The 19,543-nt window shown below is 36.6% G+C and overlaps 1 protein-coding gene across 4 annotated transcripts in view; it reads left to right on the plus strand.

Moving 5' to 3' along the window:
* Nucleotides 1–19,543, plus strand: part of PSMD1 (proteasome 26S subunit, non-ATPase 1) — a 115,961-nt gene that overhangs the window by 1,076 nt on the left and 95,342 nt on the right. For 3 of the 4 annotated variants that reach the window (NM_002807.4, NM_001191037.2, XM_017004517.3), the window contains exons 2-9: nucleotides 3,325–3,368; nucleotides 4,306–4,379; nucleotides 4,564–4,733; nucleotides 8,964–9,169; nucleotides 12,083–12,226; nucleotides 14,247–14,473; nucleotides 17,569–17,629; nucleotides 19,092–19,220. In NM_002807.4, coding sequence (NP_002798.2) covers nucleotides 3,325–3,368; nucleotides 4,306–4,379; nucleotides 4,564–4,733; nucleotides 8,964–9,169; nucleotides 12,083–12,226; nucleotides 14,247–14,473; nucleotides 17,569–17,629; nucleotides 19,092–19,220 — 1,055 coding nt within the window. The remainder of the gene's footprint in view (nucleotides 1–3,324; nucleotides 3,369–4,305; nucleotides 4,380–4,563; nucleotides 4,734–8,963; nucleotides 9,170–12,082; nucleotides 12,227–14,246; nucleotides 14,474–17,568; nucleotides 17,630–19,091; nucleotides 19,221–19,543) is intronic. The other variant, NR_034059.2, reaches the window with a different exon arrangement.

The raw sequence follows: 19,543 nt of genomic DNA on the forward strand, positions 1-19,543 counted from the left end.
TTTTATTGTAAACAAACTGGTGAGCAGAAGACAGTAATCTGAATGGTAAGGCGATCAAAACTTTATTTTTATGAGGATTGGTTAAGGAGATCGTTGGAGATACTGGGAGACGTAGTTACTTTCAAACATTTGAAGAGCTGTCACTTGTACCTGAAATAAGACTTTTTGTCCCCAAGAGATACAAGTGATCGCGAGATGAATTTTAGTTCAGTATCAGGAAGTTTTTCCAGTCAGAGCTTTGTAAAGATCAAATAAACACTCAGTTTCTTGCCACCTATAGGCCTCATTCTATTTCAAATCCATCCATTACCAATGTTTCTTCTAACTCGGCCCAAACCACCTTCATCTCTTGTCTGGGTTACTATATCAGCCTTAAGGCTTTGTTTTCGACCATTACCTCCGTACAGCCCGTTTTTCTTGTGGACTATGCTTTTTAAAACTTTAATCACATAATACTTCTTTGCTTACAATCCACCAGTGCTTACATTGTGTTTAGAGCAGCCGTGTCCAACCCTTTGAATTCGAGGACTTTTTTTCTTACTGTGGTGGTCGGACATCGTGAAAATTATATACAAACCTTTTTTTTTTTTTTTAAGCTCATTAGCTATCATTAGTGTTAGTGTATTTTATGTATGCCCCAAGATACTTCTTCCATTGTGGCCCAGGGGAGCCAAAAGGTTGGACACCCCTGGCATACAGTAAAATCCAGACTCTTAACCAAGGACCCACATGATCTGATTCCCGCCTTGTCTTGTAGTACTGTCTTCACTCAATACATCCTAATCACACTGGACTTTTTGTTCCTTGGATATGTCAGTTTCTCTCCTATCTCGGGGCCCTGGCACATTCTGTTCCTTTCTAGTCTTCTCTTCCTCAGATTTTCCCTTAGCTTCTCAATCTTTTGTCTCAACTCAAATGTTATCCTTCCCTGATCATTCTATTAAAACACGCTTACTCTCCCTCCACCACAGCTCTGTAATTGCCTTGTTTGTTTACTTGCCTGATCACTGTCTCTCTCTCTCTCTCTGGTAGAATTTTGAGCAGGAAGCTTGTTTTCACAATTCTAGAATACTGCTGAGAGCATGGCAGAAATTCAAAAGTATGTCTTGACTGAAGAGCTCAGTCAGCCAGTCAAAGCAATTAATCAGTCCCTTGAGTTTTTAAAGTAGAGGCGGAAAAAGCACTTGGTGACAATATAATAGACTTTAAGCCTCTTTAAGGTGGCAAAACTAATAATTTTTGAGGTCCTATCCTGAGATTCTGTGATGATCATATAGTGTATATTTATTACTGCCATTTAAGTTTATTGGATTACTTGTCAACTTCTGTTCCAAATCTTTTGTCACTTTGTTTTCTGTCCTATGGCTCATGTTGGCTTAGAATTTGTCCCAGGTGCTAAACAGGCTAGTCTCATGGTTCTGGTGTGGATTAGTCAGTTTGTTCATTCATTTATTGACCAGGCAGTTGCTAGGCATCACCATACAGTGGTGAATAAGAGGTCAACATGTTCTATTAGTTTTTTCCAAGAGGTTTGACTATGCAGGGGAATGGAGAGAGAGAGAGAGGTGCTTCCAGGCGGGAGATGTGAAATTGAGTGGGTTGGTGTTTTCTTTTTTAAACATAATACAGACACATAAAGGAAAGTTGTGCTAAAAAGCTTTAAAACAATAGTCCCCCACCTCACTTTCCCTTTCCTGATCCCCAGAGGCAGGTATTCCCAACTTTTAAGCTGTGTCTTCTGGAACATACCTCCGTATTTGTAAATAAATATCCAAATATTTCTGTCAATTGATTCAACAGTTTTAGACCAATATCTGCTCAGTTCCTATAACGGCATAAGAGGCTTTTAGCATCCTTAGGCCTTTCCCATTCTCTCCCCTCTCCAGAAGAGAGTTCTGTTTTGTTTTTAAGATGGGAAATACTAATGTATGGAGTGTAGAGTATTTGATTTAGTTCTGGTCCATGGCCAGAGGCTGAGTTTCCAAGCCAGGACAACCATGTAACCAGTTAGTCATAAGTGAAACCAAACCAGAGAATATAAAAATCCATCTCCCTTTTTGGTAAAAGCCGTTCAAATACATTGACTGAGGATAGGTAGCAGTTTTAGTATTAAGTGTTCTGTTATTTAAGATCTGTTCTACATTTAAAGCATTCTGGCCTGTCATCTTACTCCACATCACTAGTTTGCAATTTTTTCTTTTTCACTGATTGAATTTTGAAATTTATCTGTTCCCTGTGCTGTCCATTCAGAATCTCTGTTCTGGACTTGTCATACCAACCTAGAGTACCAAGAGGTTCTTTATATCTGCTTTTATGCTACTTTAGTTTTGCTTGGTAAATTTTGTATCTTTTCCTGTGTGGCTTCCTAAAGATTGCTTAAGCTATTTGGCAAACCTATACTTGTCAATTAGAAATGGCTACATCTAACTAAGTTGCCTTGACACTTTTTAATCAAACCACAGTTTCAACTCGGTGTTCTGGAATGATTTTAAAACCCACATGGAAAGCATTTGAGAGTGGTTTCCTTTGTGGTCTTAGTACAATAATTTCCCATATCATTTTTCCAATAATCCCTTTGACCTTTGACTATATTTCAAGGTGTGTTCTTTTGGAGAGGACAATTATTCCTTTTACTCTCCTATGTTAGTGGTAATACCTTGAGGCTAAGAGAAGCCATATGGAGAACACTGTGCTTGGGTAATTGAATTCAGAATGAGTATGATTGTTCATCATTTGGTAAAACCCAGGTTACTTGTGATAGGAAAGAGGTGCCATAATATACACACCTTGAAATAATTGAAGTATTTTACCTTGTTGATTTGATGACTAAATGCTCCCATTTTTGTAAATAATCTTATAACTGTTGATTTATTTTGTATGAATAATTTTATTCTAAAATTGTATAGGAAAGTTTCCCATTTTAATCAGTAAATTAGGCCAATGGTTCTCAAACTATAGAGAGCAAAAGAATCACAGTACTGGGCCCCATCCTCATAATTTGTGATTCAGTAGGTCTGGAATGGGGCCGAGAATGTGTATTTCTAACAGGTTCCCAGGCAATGCTGTTAGTCCAGGGAACACACTGAAAACCATTGAATTAGGCAAATGATGTAATATATGTGGTGCCATGAGGGTTTGATAATATAGTTAAGTCTTAAACTTGAGATATAAACCTTTACACTTTCAAAGAAAAATAATCATTCCCCTGGAGAAGTTACGCCTCAAAAAAATTGTTTTTCAGCCATCATGTATTTTTGACCAGGTGTTAATTTCCACTTTAGTGAGAATGTGTTTCATAATCATGTTACATCTTTTTTCTCATAGCTGGAATTATTTCTCTTCTGGATGAAGATGAACCACAGCTTAAGGTATGAATTGAAGAATAAGTAACTAGGCTTAGTGTGAATACTGTGAAGCCTTTTGAATTTAGTGATATCTGTAATCTTCCATCATTTAAAGTTGCTGTCCTAGCTGGCTTGTACCCAGTTACTGTAACCTAGCCAGAGAGGACAGTATTTTGGCCACAGCAGTTGGTTTCCCTTGAGTTTAACAAAGCTAAGACAAATAAACCTCGTTACGACACTTGAATAGCCCCCTAATTTCTTTCTTTTTTTTCTTTTTTTAATCTTTTTTCTTTTTTGAGACAGAGTCTCGCTTTATCACCCAGGCTAGAGTGCAGTGTGTGGTCATGGTTCACTGCAGCCTTGACCTCCTACACTCAAATGATCCTCCCACCTCAGCCTCCCAAGTAGCTAGGACTGTAGGCATGCACCACCACACTCAGCTAATTTTTAAATTTTTTGTTGTGATGGGGTCTCACTGTGTTGTCCAGGTTGATCTCAAACTCCTGCTCCTGGGCTCAAGTGATCCCCCCGCCTTGACCTCCCAAAGTACTGGGATTACGGGTCTGAGCCACCACACCTTCCGCTTCCCCCGCCCCAGTTTCATTATCAACAGAAAACACAAAAAGTTGTTGCTTCTGTTTCACATATTTAAAGTTTTTTATTTGATGAAAATTTGGAATGTCCTTCTGGTGGCTCTAGATACTTGATTCCTTTACATCTAAACCAGCAACCTGGAGTTAATTGTTTATATTCAAAGAAGAAAAATGTTGATGATTGAAAACAGAAAAGAAATGTGTAAACTCAAGAAAAAGTGTAAGTTGGTAAATTTTTATATTTGTCATAGAGTAAAAGTTTGAGTAAATATTACTGAGGATTTGATCATTGATTTGCTGAAAAGAATTTTTTAAGGAAGTGTAATGATAAGTCTATCTCAAAATAGGATTTTGGTTATCTTTTACAGGAATTTGCACTACACAAATTGAATGCAGTTGTTAATGACTTCTGGGCAGAAATTTCCGAGTCCGTAGACAAAATGTAAGAAATTATTTTTATAAATCAGAATAAGATGGATCAAATTTAATTGTGAATGTGGGTCTTGTGGCTTATTGATTCATTTAGAAATTTGCTGTTAACTGAATTGTGGCTTGAATATTTAGATTTGGGATTTTTAGGGAAAACCACAGTTTGAACTAGACCTGTACTTCCTAATTTCTTTCAGAGAGGTTTTATACGAAGATGAAGGTTTCCGGAGTCGGCAGTTTGCAGCCTTAGTGGCATCTAAAGTATTTTATCACCTGGGGGCTTTTGAGGAGTCTCTGAATTATGCTCTTGGAGCAGGGGACCTCTTCAATGTCAATGATAACTCTGAATATGTGGAAACTATTATAGGTAATTATCGTCTATCTGGTAAGGCTTTATCTTGTCGGCTTCTTTCTTGCTGTAGTGCACATAGAAGCTTTTTTCCTGAATTTGATGTTGCCAAATTTCATTTTAATTGGAAGTTCCTAATCTTTCTATAATAATTTTATGCAGGCTGAGTTTTTAGATCTGCCCTTCAACTGAGTGCTGGTTCTCAGTGGTTATGATGATCACCAGTCCAGTGAGCCTACTGTTAGAGGAAAAGATTAAATCAGATTAGTATGAGTAACAAGTGGTACCAGTTTGTGTAGTTTTTTCGAATACAGGAAACCATTATTTAGTATCTGCATTGTGCTAGGCACCGTGCTAGTCACTCTGCATACCATGGTTTATTCCACAGCTACCCCATGAGGAAGGAGCTAGCCGTTTTACAGATGAGACAACTTGGATTTTGAGATGATAAAGACATGGTTATTAAATAGAAGGATAAAATTTAAAACCTGGTTTTACTCACTCTAAAACCCATACTGTTTCTATTTGTAACCGTTGTTTTCTTACTTGTTTCCTTATTTTTGAAGGAAGGGGATAACACACAGGCAAGGCTTTGAATTTTCTGACACATATTTCAACCAGAGTTGTAAATTCAACTAGTTATGTAAGATTTGATACAAAGATTTTATAGTGTAAAAAAATGCTTGAAAACTGTTGATGTAGTAAATGAAAGAAGGGACTGCATACCCTTCAGACATGTGTTTATCAGACTTTGGATTCATAGTACAGAGAGCTCAAGGGCATGTTCTGTCAGGAGTGTGCAGTGCAGATATTTCACATTGCTGATTAGTAGAAGGTCTGTATTATTCACTTGAACACTTACAAGGAGGAAGTTGGTATTCTCTTTTAGAAATTGGGAAGTCCTGCACAAGGGGGTTGATAGAGGTACCATCAACTGTCCTTGGGATTCTGTGTTCATGTTTTTAAAGTTTTTGCTATGATGATGTGAAAATTTTGCAAGTTACTTTATTGCTGTTGGAGGCTCATTGAATTGAGCTGTCATCTGTGAATCCAGTGGGAAGAACTGATGGCTTAAAAGGATGGACCGTATTATTTGAAACTAGACTACTTTCTTCACTTTAAGCTAGAAGCAGGGGGTGAAATACCTTACTTATCTCTTTTATTTGATGGATTTTTTTTTTTTTGAAAACAGGGCAGGATCTCACTGTGTTGACCAGGGTGGTCTCAAACTCCTGGCCTCAAGCAGTTCTCCTGCTTTGGCCTCCCAAAGTGTTGGAATTAACAGGCGTGAGCCACCACAGCCAGCCTTTTTTTTTTCTTTAATGAAGGTTTATGGTTTTTTACAACAGTGATCTACAAATGCTTAAAATGCCACCATTGTACAAATTGTGCTTTTAAACTGGACTGTTGGTATGAAGTGCTATGGCATGGTAGATGCCTTCTAAACACTGTATCATTTTACCTTTGGAAGGTGAGTTTTGATCAGTAGACCAGTTCTGTTTGCATTTATTTATTTAAAAGTGGGGTTCACCCTTCCTCTAGTTTTGTAGGGCACATTTTTTAAGATGTCAGTGAGATTCATGAGGGGGTATACAAAACAGAATTTGGGTAAGGCTTCCTAGCGTCTTAATGAATATCGTAAACAGTACCTCCAGAAAATCCAGGACTCATAAATCTCCAAGTTATGACAAGGCTTTAGCAGGAAATGAGGCTGAGTTTTAGTTATAACATAAACCTGGGATATATTTATGACATATATGCAAACCTGGTGAATGAGAACATGAATCTCATTTGAAACCTGGGACATACATTTTTCCCCTTCAGTTATATAATCTAAGGAAAATTCCCCAAATGTTCTAATTTTGAGGTTCCTCTCTGATGGGGTAGGGGTAATGTTTCCTCACTTAGCTACAGTTGGTTCAAAAAGCTCACATTAGGGCCTGGTGGACATTTTCAACAACTGGAATTCTTTAAGGTCTATTTTGCATTATAACATCCACTGTGTTTTTTTGTTTGTCTGTTTGTTTTTTGGCAGTTTTTCTCTGTTGCCCGGGCTGGAGTGCAATGGCACGATCTTGGCTCGCTGCAACCTCCACCTCCCTGGTTCAAGTGATTCTCGTGCCTCAGCCTCCCAAGTAGCTGGGATGACAGGTGCACACTACCACACCTGGCTAATTTTTGTGTTGTAGAAATGGGGTTTTGCCATGTTGGCCAGGCTGGTCTTAAACTCCTGGCCTCAAGTGATCCACTTGCCTCGGCTTCCCAAGATTTTGGGATTACAGATGTGAGCCACTGACCCAACCCACTATGTTCTTATTAACTGTACCTGAACCTTCATGGTTCCAGCTGAATCTTGAATGTAGTATATTCCAATTTATAAAAGTCCTCTGCTTCCTTCAAGATATAGACCCATTTAACCCGGGTCATCTAGTAGGCCAACAATCATTTATGCTAGTTAAAATTATTTTTATTTCTTGGGGCTATGGTTTGTAACTAATAAATCTTGCCCTCGTCTTCTTACTTATCTTTGAAAGGGAAAGAAACAAGCCAATGAATTATGGAGAGGATAATTAATGTATATGTCATTCCTCTTGGGTGACTGGGTTTTTTGTTTTTTTGTTTTTTTTGTTTTTTTGTTTTTTTGTTTTTTGTTTTGAGACAGTCTCGCTCTGTCTCCCAGGCTGGAGTGCAGTGGCGCGATCTCGGCTCACTGGAACCTCCACCTCCCGGGTTCACGCCATTCTCCTGCCTCAGCCTCCCGAGTAGCTGGGACTACAGGCGCCCGCCACCACACCCGGCTAATTTTTTTTTTTTTGTATTTTTAGTAGAGACGGGGTTTCACCGTGTTAGCCAGGATGATCTCGATCTCCTGACCTCGTGATCCACCCGCCTCGGCCTCCCAAAGTGCTGGGATTACAGGCGTGGGCCACCGCGCCCGGCCAGGGTGACTGTTTTATCTTCCTTATGAAGGTGGAAGGCTTAGGGAAATGTCCTTCTTTTGGTTGTACTTAGAAAGTTTAAGGTGTGATTGCAAAGATATAACTAAATTGCAAACAAATGTTTCTTATCAGGTGTGCTATTGATATCCTTCAGTATGTCACACCCTCCCCTCCATGCACCCAAATCATTGTGAAATATGGAAGCTAAATTGGGCACAAACACTTTTGCATGAATTTTCAGACACCTTCTTGGGAGAAATAGGTTCCACCTACCTCACATTGAGACAATAAATAGAGTCAGGAATCACATAATGACAGACTGCATAGACAACAGATGTCCCATAAGAGTACAATACCATATTTTTACTGTACCTTTTCTGTGTTTAGACACAAATGCTATTGCCTATAGTATTCAATACACTAATATGCTATACAGGTTTGCAGCCTAGAAGCACTAGGCCATACCATAGAGCCTAGGTATGTAGTAGGTTATATAACATCTAGGTTTGTGTAAGTTCACTCCATGATGTTTGCACAATGATGAAATCACCTAAAGATGTGTTTTCCAGAATGTATTACTGTCATTAAGCGACACAGGACTGTTTTTCAAAGGATCTGCTACAGTTGCTGGAAAAGTTTTTGGAAATCTTTGGAACTGCCTTTTAAACTTGTGGCACATTTCAAGTCATTTCCCCATTACCCTACAGAGACAATTTAGACATAGTTCTTACTCTCAGGTTGCTAATAGTTTCATTAATGCAAAGAAGTCCGATATACTACTATGTGATAATTGCTATAATAGGCCTTTTAAAATATCTTCAGTAATGGCAAATGTTTGTTTTTTGAAAGTGAAGCAGCAGCTATTTGTAGCCAGTTCTTTTGAATAAGCAGCTTAATCGGGTAGAGTAATAAAATTTTGATCAAAATGGAGTAACAAGATAGAAACTTTAAAAATAAATTAAATAAGAGACAGGGTCCCATTGTGGTGCTCAGGCTGGCGTTGAACTCCTGGGCTCATGTGATCCTCCTGCCTCAGCCTGCCGAGTAGCTGGGACTGTGGGTGAGCACTACCACACCTGGCAGATAGAAATGTTTTGAATAATGTCAACTGGATTGGAATTAATGTGTAGTTCTCCGGTGTAAATATTATGGGAGAACAGTATTCAAATGCATAAGTTCTAGCATTTCAAAATTTGCTTATTGCTTTATAGTCATCCCATAAGTATATATGATTATAAATATAGGCATTGCCCTTTCTGATAGTTTAGCCCAATTTACAAGATAATCAGTTATTTTATTTCCTCAACAGCAAAATGCATTGATCACTACACCAAACAATGTGTGGAAAATGCAGATTTGCCTGAAGGAGAAAAAAAACCAATTGACCAGAGATTGGAAGGCATCGTAAATAAAATGTTCCAGCGATGTCTAGATGATCACAAGTATAAACAGGCTATTGGCATTGCTCTGGAGACACGAAGACTGGACGTCTTTGAAAAGACCATACTGGAGTCGGTAGGTAGATGATGTTATTTTAGAAATTATTGTTGATAGGGAATCAGCAAAGCAAGTTATTCAAACTGAAACTTTCATAGGCAGTGAAAAGAAAATCTAGTTTAGAAATAGCAGGTGATCTTTTGCCAAATATTTTATTTTCATATTTATGTATGAACCTTGGTTGTGTTTTGTGTTCATGAAATATCTGCTTTTATCTTACCACATAATCCTTTGAAGTCTTGCATGGGGAAGTTGTATTAATTACTCTGCCCTTTTTAAGAAGACAATAAACTATATTTTAATGCATTTATTAGGGTTAAAACTACTCAGCTAGATTCCTGGTTTGCGGTGTTTGCAATAATTAAGACAATTTAAGTCACCAACCGAAGTGGTCAGAAAGGTACAAAGCTGAGTAAAATGGACATTGATCTGCAGGCTTACTTTGCCTCACCAGCTATTTCTTTCCATGAGCTAGCTCTCTGTACACTAGCCATTTTGGTATCTTCTCATCTAGATGAACCCTGCCTCGTTCCCCCTTCCAAAAATATTTTTTACATTTCTTTTTTCTTTCTTTTTTTTTTGAGATGGAGTCTCGCTCTGTCAACCAGGCTGGAGTGCGGTGGCGCAATCTTGGCTCACTGAAACCTCTGCCTCCGGGGTTCAAGCAATCCTCCCATCTCAGCTTCCTGAATAGCTGGGATTACAGGCGTGTGCCACCACACCCAGCTAATTTTTGTATTTTTAGTAGAGTTGGGGTTTCATCATGTTGACCAAGCTGGTCTCAAACTCCTGACCTCAAGTGATCCACCCGTCTCAGCCGCCCAAAGTGCTGGGATTATAGGCATGAGCCACCACACCTGCCCTCCATTCCTTTCTTTGCCTGCTTTATTTCTCCTCACAATCCAAAACTTAGCTCAACTATCCCTTGTTTGCAGAACTTTGATCCCAATACCCATGCCTTCCTCAGCCCCTAAGCAAAGACTAGGTCCAGTTCTGTTGTTAATCTTATGGAGCCCTGTACATTTTTTCATGGTGTTTATCCCTTGATAATTGTATTAGTAGATAGTTAATAGCTGTCTTTCCCACTAGATCATAAGCTATATCGGGACAGGTATTTGTGCCTTTTTCACCACTGTATCCCCAAAACCTAACACAGTGTTTAGCGTCGATAATACGATTTGTTTAAATGAGTGAATGAATGAATGGCCTAATGTGATATAATGGCCCTTGTTTCCCTCTCAATTTCATTTTTGTGCAGTTTTAGCCCATCCTTGTCTTCGTGTGTGTAAGATTACATTTTTGGCTTTCATTTATTCAACAAATATTTTTTCAGTGCTTACTGTTTGCCAGATACTGTTCTAGGCATTGGAGATGTGCATTGTCCCCATTCATCCATGGTTTTGCTCTCTGTGGTTTCAGTTACCTGCAGTCAACTACAGACTGAAAATATTAAATAGAAAATTCCGGAAATAAACAATTCATGTCTTAAATTGTGCACCATTCTGACTAGCACAACGAAATCTCTCACCATCTCTTTCCATCCCGCATGGGATGTGAATCATCCTAGTAGATCTATGCTGTGTACACTGCCTATTAGTCACTTTAGTGGCCACCTTGCTTATCAGATTGACTGTCGCAATATCACAGTGCTTGTGTTCAGATAACCCTTATTCTACTCAGTAATGGCCTCAAAGTACAAAAATAGTGATGTTGGCAATTTAGATATGCTAAAGAGAAGCCTTAAACTGCTTCCTTTAATTGAAAAAGTGAAAATTCCCAACTTAATAAGGAAAGAAAAAAAATTGTGCTGAGGCTGCGCTGAGATGTACATAAGAATGAATCTTCCATCCATAAAATTGTGAAGAAGAAAACAGAAATTTGTGCATAATTTATATAGAGTTTGGTACTGTTTGTGGTTTCAGGCATCTGCTGGGGGTGCTGGAACATAGTCCTCTCAGATAAAGGAGCACCTACTATAGTAGCAAACAAGACCAACAAAGTTCCTGCCCAAAGCAAACACTTCATTGGGGAATCTAGAAGGAGAACAAGCAGTCAAACAAATAAATATATAAAGTAAAAGAATGAAAAATGTTTTAAAAAAAAAAAAGCAGAGTAACAAATGCATCTTTCTTTGTATCCCAGTGCACATATACATATAGATGTAATTTAAGCTTTATGAAACTAATACCTACTCTTACTACTTGTGATATAACTCTGTTATTTTTAAATTGTATTTTTTATTTTTTTAATTTGCTAGTCACACTTCATTAAATTGATTTTATTACGCAGTGGAAAGTCACAACTCACTTTTTGAGAAACACTCCTGTAGCTTTCAGTGTGCTAATTTATGTTGAAGGCCTTTTACAGGGTGAAGTCTCAAATATTGGGGATACTTTTGAGAATCACCAAGTAAACACATAGAGCCTGGATCAAAGTTTTCTTGTAGGGAGAGCACCAGACAGATGTGGCAGTACTCAATGCTTGAGTCACTGAGAGCTGTGTTGTGTTTCCTGGCCAGCAAGTGAGTGTAGGCAGTAAGTCATGAGGGAGTCTAGTAGCAAGATAAGAAGCAGAAAGACTTCAGCAGACACATTTGGAAAACATAGCTACTTAGTGTATGGACAGTTGTATATCTTTTATAATAATTAACAGCATCACTTTATTATAGTATACTATGTTCATGTAATAGTGATTCTGAGTACCACTAAATATTATTTTTAATCCATTTTTTATGATGATGTGGAAATATGTAATTCTTTTAAGATTTTCATCTAAAATGGTTTAAAATTCTTGAGTTTGTATTGCTTAAGAGGTCTAAATAATTGGCTTCCTAGATTGGCTAAAGAAGCAAGATTAAAATAATTCAATTTCTAAATAAATATAATGCTGCAATAACCAGATAACGTTATATCTTTAAACTATCTCTTTCAGAATGATGTCCCAGGAATGTTAGCTTATAGCCTTAAGCTCTGCATGTCTTTAATGCAGAATAAACAGTTTCGGAATAAAGTACTAAGAGTTCTAGTTAAAATCTACATGAACTTGGAGAAACCTGATTTCATCAATGTTTGTCAGGTAATGACATTAAATTATGTTTCATTACATTGCTCCACGCTGTACTGTGCTATGCTATACCACTTCACATTTTATTACTTTATATTACTATAATGGCTTTATACATGTATCTCAGCTGATCTTCACAGCAGCCCTGTGAAAATAAGGTATGTGCTTTATATTCCTTTTTATTAATAAGAAACTAAATCTCACAACACTAAAAAGCTATTTTGTTGTAACACATTCTTTCTTTGTATTCTTTTTTCATTTTGAAAATCCAATAATTTAAGGAAATTTTTAGAAATAACGAAGGTTTTTTAAAAAGCTAGAAGATTAAAACAGTGCCTATGCTATACTATATCATTCTAAAGAGAATTCAAAGTGTATAAATTATATATGGTTTCATTACCCATACACACCAAAACATTTGGGTATCTTTTCTTTATCTCTTTCTATATATAAATTTGCTTGCACATAAAAAAAAATTCAGATGGTACAGAAAATATATAAAATGAAAAGTAAGGCTTCTCTTTCCCATCATTTGGGCTTTTTCCCAAAGGTAAGACATAGATGTTTTTCCCTACTTATTCACACATGTGGATCTACTGCATTCTTTTAATGACTGTATTGTATTTTATTGACTGGAGGTGTGCATGGGTTTACTTTTTAACAATTGCTATGTTGTATACATTTTTTGTATTCTGCTCAGGGCATAGCATTTTATTGCACATTTTATTGTTTCTTCATTAAAATGTGCTCCTGTGTATTTTAATCCTCTAGACTTTGAAAATTTAGATTAAAACACTGTTTTTTACAATCCCTTTTAAAGCAAGTTTGAAACAAAATACTAGAAGAAAAAATATCCATGTTTAAATCACCCAAAGTCAACTTACTATTCTAACTTGATTTTTTACATCACCCAAAGTCAATTTAGTATTTAATAGTGTATTTCCTTTCAGTTTTCTCTACATAGGTTTTCGGAGTTTTGTTGTTTGTAAATATTTTTCATAGTTTTTTTTAAAACTGACATGAAAAATAGTAGTTCCCTGCCCTCTTCCTGTCTGTATTTCAGTTTTATTCCTTAGAGGCAATTTTATTTCTTTCAGCTGTTTTATTCCTTATCTTTTTATTATTTTTAAAAACTTTATTGCTCATTTTTAAAATAATATATTTTTGAGCAGATAATATGTTCATGTGATTTAAAATTCAAAAAGAATGATGGGGTATACAATGAAGTCTTCCTATTACTTGGCTCCAGCTACCAAGTTCTTTTCTCTGTGGATAAACAGTGTTAATTGTATACAGTCTTTAACATTTTTCCATGTTCTAATTCTTCATAGAGTCCTCTTACTTGATTGTTGTAATCATTCAGTGTATGTACTTTGCCCTACTTAATCATTCCCCTATTGTTGACCACTTATTTTGTTTGTGTTATTTCGTGTTCTTAATTTATAATAACTTTGATTAATGTGTTTATTTTGAAGTTGAGTTACTTGCTGCCTAAGGGAACAAGAAAATTTAAATTGAGTTTTTAAAAGAAAAATTCTAACTTTGTTGGATAATTTTGTTAAAACAATGGCAGATCATAAGAGTAGTAAGAGAAATGCTTCAAAATGGTAATTTTAATGTCTCTTGTCCTGGCCCAACACAACACAATGTATGTTAAATGAATGAGTAACTTCCATAATATATGGTAAGGGAGAAAATAACAAATTAAGGAGCACTTAGGTATAACTTATGGATAAGATTTAAAGAAGCCAAGATTCATTCAACAACCAATGTTGAATACTGCTGATTACCAGGCACAGCATTAAGAGTTATAAATATAATTTGTATGAATTTTTTTATGGAAGACAGATGCCATGTTTAGAAAAATTTCATCTAGTGCTGGGTTTAGAAATAGAGTGCTAGACTGGATAGTCTGCCCTAGTTTGCCTGTGCTTATATTTTAAGGTTTTCTATAATGTTGATTTTGTCTCCTTAAGTACCTTGTAGATGAAGTTTTTAATTATTGAATAATTGTTCTTTATCTCCATTTCAGTGCTTAATTTTCTTAGATGATCCTCAGGCTGTGAGTGATATCTTAGAGAAACTGGTAAAGGAAGACAACCTCCTGATGGCATATCAGATTTGTTTTGATTTGTATGAAAGTGCTAGCCAGCAGTTTTTGTCATCTGTAATCCAGAATCTTCGAACTGTTGGCACCCCTATTGCTTCTGTGCCTGGATCCACTAATACGGGTACTGTTCCGGGATCAGAGAAAGACAGGTATAAGTACCTTTTTCTGCATCAAAACTAATTGAATAATCTTTATTTCATTTTGGGGACAGGTAGAATATTTATAGGAAGCATATTCTAAGAATAAATTTTGCCACTAGCTTTCATAGATTGTAAAGTCTTATTAGGCTGTTGCTCTGTTTTGTACTGTGCTGGGTGTAGTAAGGAAAACCGAAGAAATTGACCCTTCTGGAAAGAAATAGAAGTGATTATCTCGTAGGGAGGGCCTACCAGACAACATGTGTACTATTTAATCAAGTAAATTTAAAAAAACAGGTGGGGATAGGTTGGGGCTACCTTTTAGATATTTGGGTTAGATATATCTGGGTTAGATATTTAGAAAGTAAAGAACATTCTCAGCTTTTTATGCTTTTATTAGAACTAAATACACAAATTTCTATAGTATTAGAAATTTGCATTCTGTACAAATTGATATGGTATTAAAATTTTATTTTTCTGTATTTTACACGTTTAGATCACTTACTAAAAACATTTGTGTGTCTTAGTTGTGCCTGTATATGCCGGCAGCCCCCTAGCCCGCTCTTTCACTGGATATCTGTGTCTGAGAAATGTGGGACTCTCTCTTTCACTTAAGCACTCAGAGGCCATTGTAGGGTTATTAATTGGCCTAATTTCAATATTGTTGTGTCTCAGGGAATAGGGAGTCCCAAGGAGAAGGAGAGAGATGGGGGAATGACCGGTGTGTGGAGCAGTCAGAACACACACATTTATTGATTGAGTTTGCTGTTTTATATGGGTGTGGTTCGTGGTGTCCCAAAACAACTACAATGGTAACATCAAAGATCACTGATGACAGATTACCATAACAGATATAACGATAATTAAAAAGTTTTAAATATTGCAAGGATAACTAAAATGTAACACAAGGACAAAGTGATCACATACTATTGGAGAAGTGGCTCCAATAGACTTCCTTGAAGGGCAGTAAAACAAAGGTATGCCTATATTTTTCTTTATATCACTACCTCTTTCCTTATTACTAAAACTATGCTAAGTCTTGCAGTCAGGTATTGTAAGACCTACAATTTTGATTCTTTTTTCTTTTTCAAGATTCTTTGGGCTATTGTAGATTTTTTGCATTATATAAGTCTGTGGGTGTTCTGATTGGGATTGTATTGAATATCTTCAATTTGGGGCACATTGAAATCCCGATAATATTGAATCTTGTAATCCAGGAATATGGTGATCTTTTTCATTTACTTAGGTTTTTTATTTTTTTCTCAGTAGTGTTTTGTAGATTCAGTGCAGAGGTTTTACACATCTTTTCTTAAATTAATGTTCTTATATCCCTAAGTATAATTTGTTTTTTGATGCTGTTGTGAAGTGGTATTTTTAAATTTCTATTTTTTTTGTTGGTAGTATATAGAAATATAATTGATTTTTATATACTAACATTGAATCCTATGACCTTGATAAAATCATTTATAGCTTTATAAATGATTTTTTTAAGTAAATTTTTTAAAGTAGATCCTTTTACAGAATTCTGTTTATTGGCATCTTGGTCATCTGCAGTTAGAGAGCATTTTACTCCTTCTTTTGTAATCTTTATACCTTTTCCCTCTCTTTTTTTTCTATATTGGCTAGAATTCCCAATACTTACAGAAGTGATAAGAGGCAGTGAAAAAAATCTTTAATTTTTTTCAATCTTAGGGGGATAGAATTTTTTATTTATTTTCGAGACAGAGTCTCAGTCTTGTCACCTAGTCTGTAGTACAGTGGCACGATCTCAGCTCACTGCATCCTCCACCTTCCTGGGTTCAAGCAATTCTCCTGCCTCAGCCTCCTGAGTAGCTGGGGCTACAGGCGCAGGCTATCATGCCCGGCTAATTTTTATATTGTTAGTAGAGACGGAGTTTCACCATATTGGCCAGGCTGGTCTCGAACTCCTGACCTCAGGTGATCCGCTTGCCTCAGCCTCCCAAACTTCTGGGATTACGGGTGTGAGCCACCATACCCGGCCTATTTATTTATTTTTGATTTAACAAGTTTTCTTTCTTCTTGCCTTCTCCTTTTCTTAAGGCTTATGTGTGGTGGTTACAAGTTCCTTCTGAGTTAATCTTCATTTCTGAAATTATTATTTTTTCTCTTTTATTTCTGATTTTCTCTAGTTCTATCATGTTAATTTCTGAGTTTTTGTACTTCTAATATGTAATAGTCTTGTATATTTTATGTAATTTTCCTAATTTCTCTTGTTTTGAAATAACTTTTTTCTAATATTTTATGAGATTTTACTTTGATGCTTTTCTGTAGCTTATTTTTACTGAAATTAGTTTTTCTAAACTTTTCCAAAGGAGGCTTGTTTAGGATAGTTTTTCCAATTTTACTGCCCTCCAGTATTTCCTCTTCTGTTGCATTTATGTAGTACTATACAAAATAATGGCTTTTGTTTTGGGATCTCCTGACTCTGTTTCCTTTCTCCATTGCCCAGGCTAGGGTGCAGTGGTGCGATCATAGCTCACTGCAACCTCAAACTCCTAGGCTCAAGCAATCTTCCCACTTCAGCCTCCGGAGTAGCTGGGACTACAGGCACGCACCACTATACCTAGTTCATTATTTAAATTTTTTTGTGGAGACAAGGGTCTCATTTTGTTGCCCAGGCTTATTGGTACCTTCTTTATCTTTGTCCCTGCCTTTTTAATTTGGATTCTCTGCCCAGCACTTTTTCCTCAATATGGTGCTTTGACCTACAAGGGACTGTTGGCTGATTAGATTTAAGAGTAGTTGGGGTCCCAGCCCCTTCTTTTCAAGCCCATTTTGTAGCTGGTGGTGATTTTGCTTTACCTGACTGTGTTTTGTGAATGAAGGAGATATTTTGTCGCCTGTTCTTGTTGTATTTGTTGTCCATGGTTTTGCTAACCTAGTTGCTTTGTTTTTATTATTTGGAGGAAATTTAATAACTGGATTGCCTCCATCTTAGAGATGTGTAGAATTTTTTATTTCTTAATGGTAATACTTTAGTAAACATTATTTTCTTGCAAAATATTCAATTTGGACATGGTTCAGATCTGTGGTATAAACAAATTGTACTTCTCTTCAGAAAAAATTATTGGTTCTTTTCATTTCAGTGACTCGATGGAAACAGAAGAAAAGACAAGCAGTGCATTTGTAGGAAAGACACCAGAAGCCGTGAGTGTGCTTTTTTTTTTTCCTTTGAGACAGGGTCCTGATCTGTCACCCAGGCTAGAACGCAGTGGCGCGGTCTCGGCTCACTACAACCTCTGCCTCCCAGGCTCAAGCTTTCCTCCCACCTTAGCCTCCCAAGTAAATGGCTGGGATTGCAGGCATGTACCACCACGCCTGGCTAAGTTTTGTATTTTTTGTAGAGACAGGGTTCGCTGTGTTGCCCAGGCTGGTCATGAACTCCTGAGCTCAAGCAATCCGTTTGCCTTGGCCTCCCAGAGTGCTGGGATTACAGGCATGAGCCACCGAGCCAAGCCACCATGCCCAGCGAGTGTGCTTTTTGAAGTTGAGATTGTTACTTAATAAATATTTCCACAGGATATTGTAAATTCTTTCAAGTATATATTCTATACATGCTTTTATTAAAGTTTACTGTTAAGTTTGATACCAAAGTCATTTTATAAAAATGAATTTTCTGTAAAGATTAAAGTTTTAAAAATTGATCCGAAGAAAACATTTAGAAGAAATCAAATCCTTAGATCCTTACTTCAGGCAGAAGTTATTTCTGTCTGAAATAACTTCAAATTACCTATCACAGGGTGAAAAAAAGGTATGGTCTCTAGCAAATGGCAACATATATGGGAGGGAGGCTAATTGTTTTTGTTGTTTTTAATGTTTGCAGCGTATTGGAAGGGTAGGGTAAATATTACAACAGTGGTCTGTTGGACTTTTGGTTCCTGATGCTCAGGTGTGTAAACTTCAGCTGTTCTTCACCTGGTTGGAAAGTTGTGTTGGTGGCATGGTAGTTTATAAGATCAAGGCTGGGCACTGTGGTTCATGCATGTAATCCCAGCACTTTGGGAGGCCAAGGTGGGTGGATCACCTGAGGTCAGGAGTTCGAAACTAGCCTGGCCAACATGGCAAAACCCCGTCTCTACTAAAAATACAAAAATTAGCTGAGCGTGGTGGCACACGCCTTTAATCCCAGGTACTCGGGAGAATTGCTTGAGCTTGGGAAGTGGAGGTTGCAGTGAGCCAAGATTGCACCACTGCACCCCAGCTGGGGCAACAGAGAGAAACTCTGCCTCAAAAAAAAAAAATCATATATATATGTTGATTAAAGGTATTTTCAGTTTTCTCAGTTTCAAGTAGGAAGTTTCTCAATTAAAATATAAATTGACTCATTTAATAAAAAGTAATTTTCCTGCGTGTTATCAGTAATTATTCTTTCCCAGTTTTTAAAAAATATTTAAATATTTTACATCGAAAGCTAGCTGGGGATGAATTGTATTCTTCCATCAAGCTAGTATCATATCTCAGTAGCATCTAATAAAGAAAGAAATAAATTATCCTTTCTCTTAAAATGGACTGAATTTCACTGGTTTAGGACTGATGAAATAAAATTGGGTTACTGGATTATAGTAATACTGTTTATGAGTTTTCATTTTTTTTTTGTTTGTTTTGGCAGAGTCCAGAGCCTAAGGACCAGACTTTGAAAATGATTAAAATTTTAAGTGGTGAAATGGCTATTGAGTTACATCTGCAGTTCTTAATACGAAACAATAATACAGACCTCATGATTCTAAAAAACACAAAGGTAAGAAATTCATCAATAATAGAGGATTTTAAAAAATATTTAGTTCTTTGTTGCATATAAGTAATTATATTTATTTCTTGTTGGATACTTTCTTTATTTTATTTCCAATTAAGGAAAAAGTATTTAAGTTTTGAAAAAATAGCAATCAATTATCCTCTTGGAGTTGTTGGAAAGGAAGAAAATGAGCAATGATTGAGCTCTTGTTTTTATGCTTATCTCTTATTGGGGAGCTTAGTTAACTCATTTTTCATTTTTAATGTATACATGGAGCAGTTAGACAAATAGCACAATCAGAATATTAAGATAGGCTCTTGAGCCGCTTG

Source organism: Homo sapiens, chromosome 2 (assembly GCF_000001405.40).
Source record: "Homo sapiens chromosome 2, GRCh38.p14 Primary Assembly".
Taxonomy (NCBI): Eukaryota; Metazoa; Chordata; class Mammalia; order Primates; family Hominidae; genus Homo; species Homo sapiens.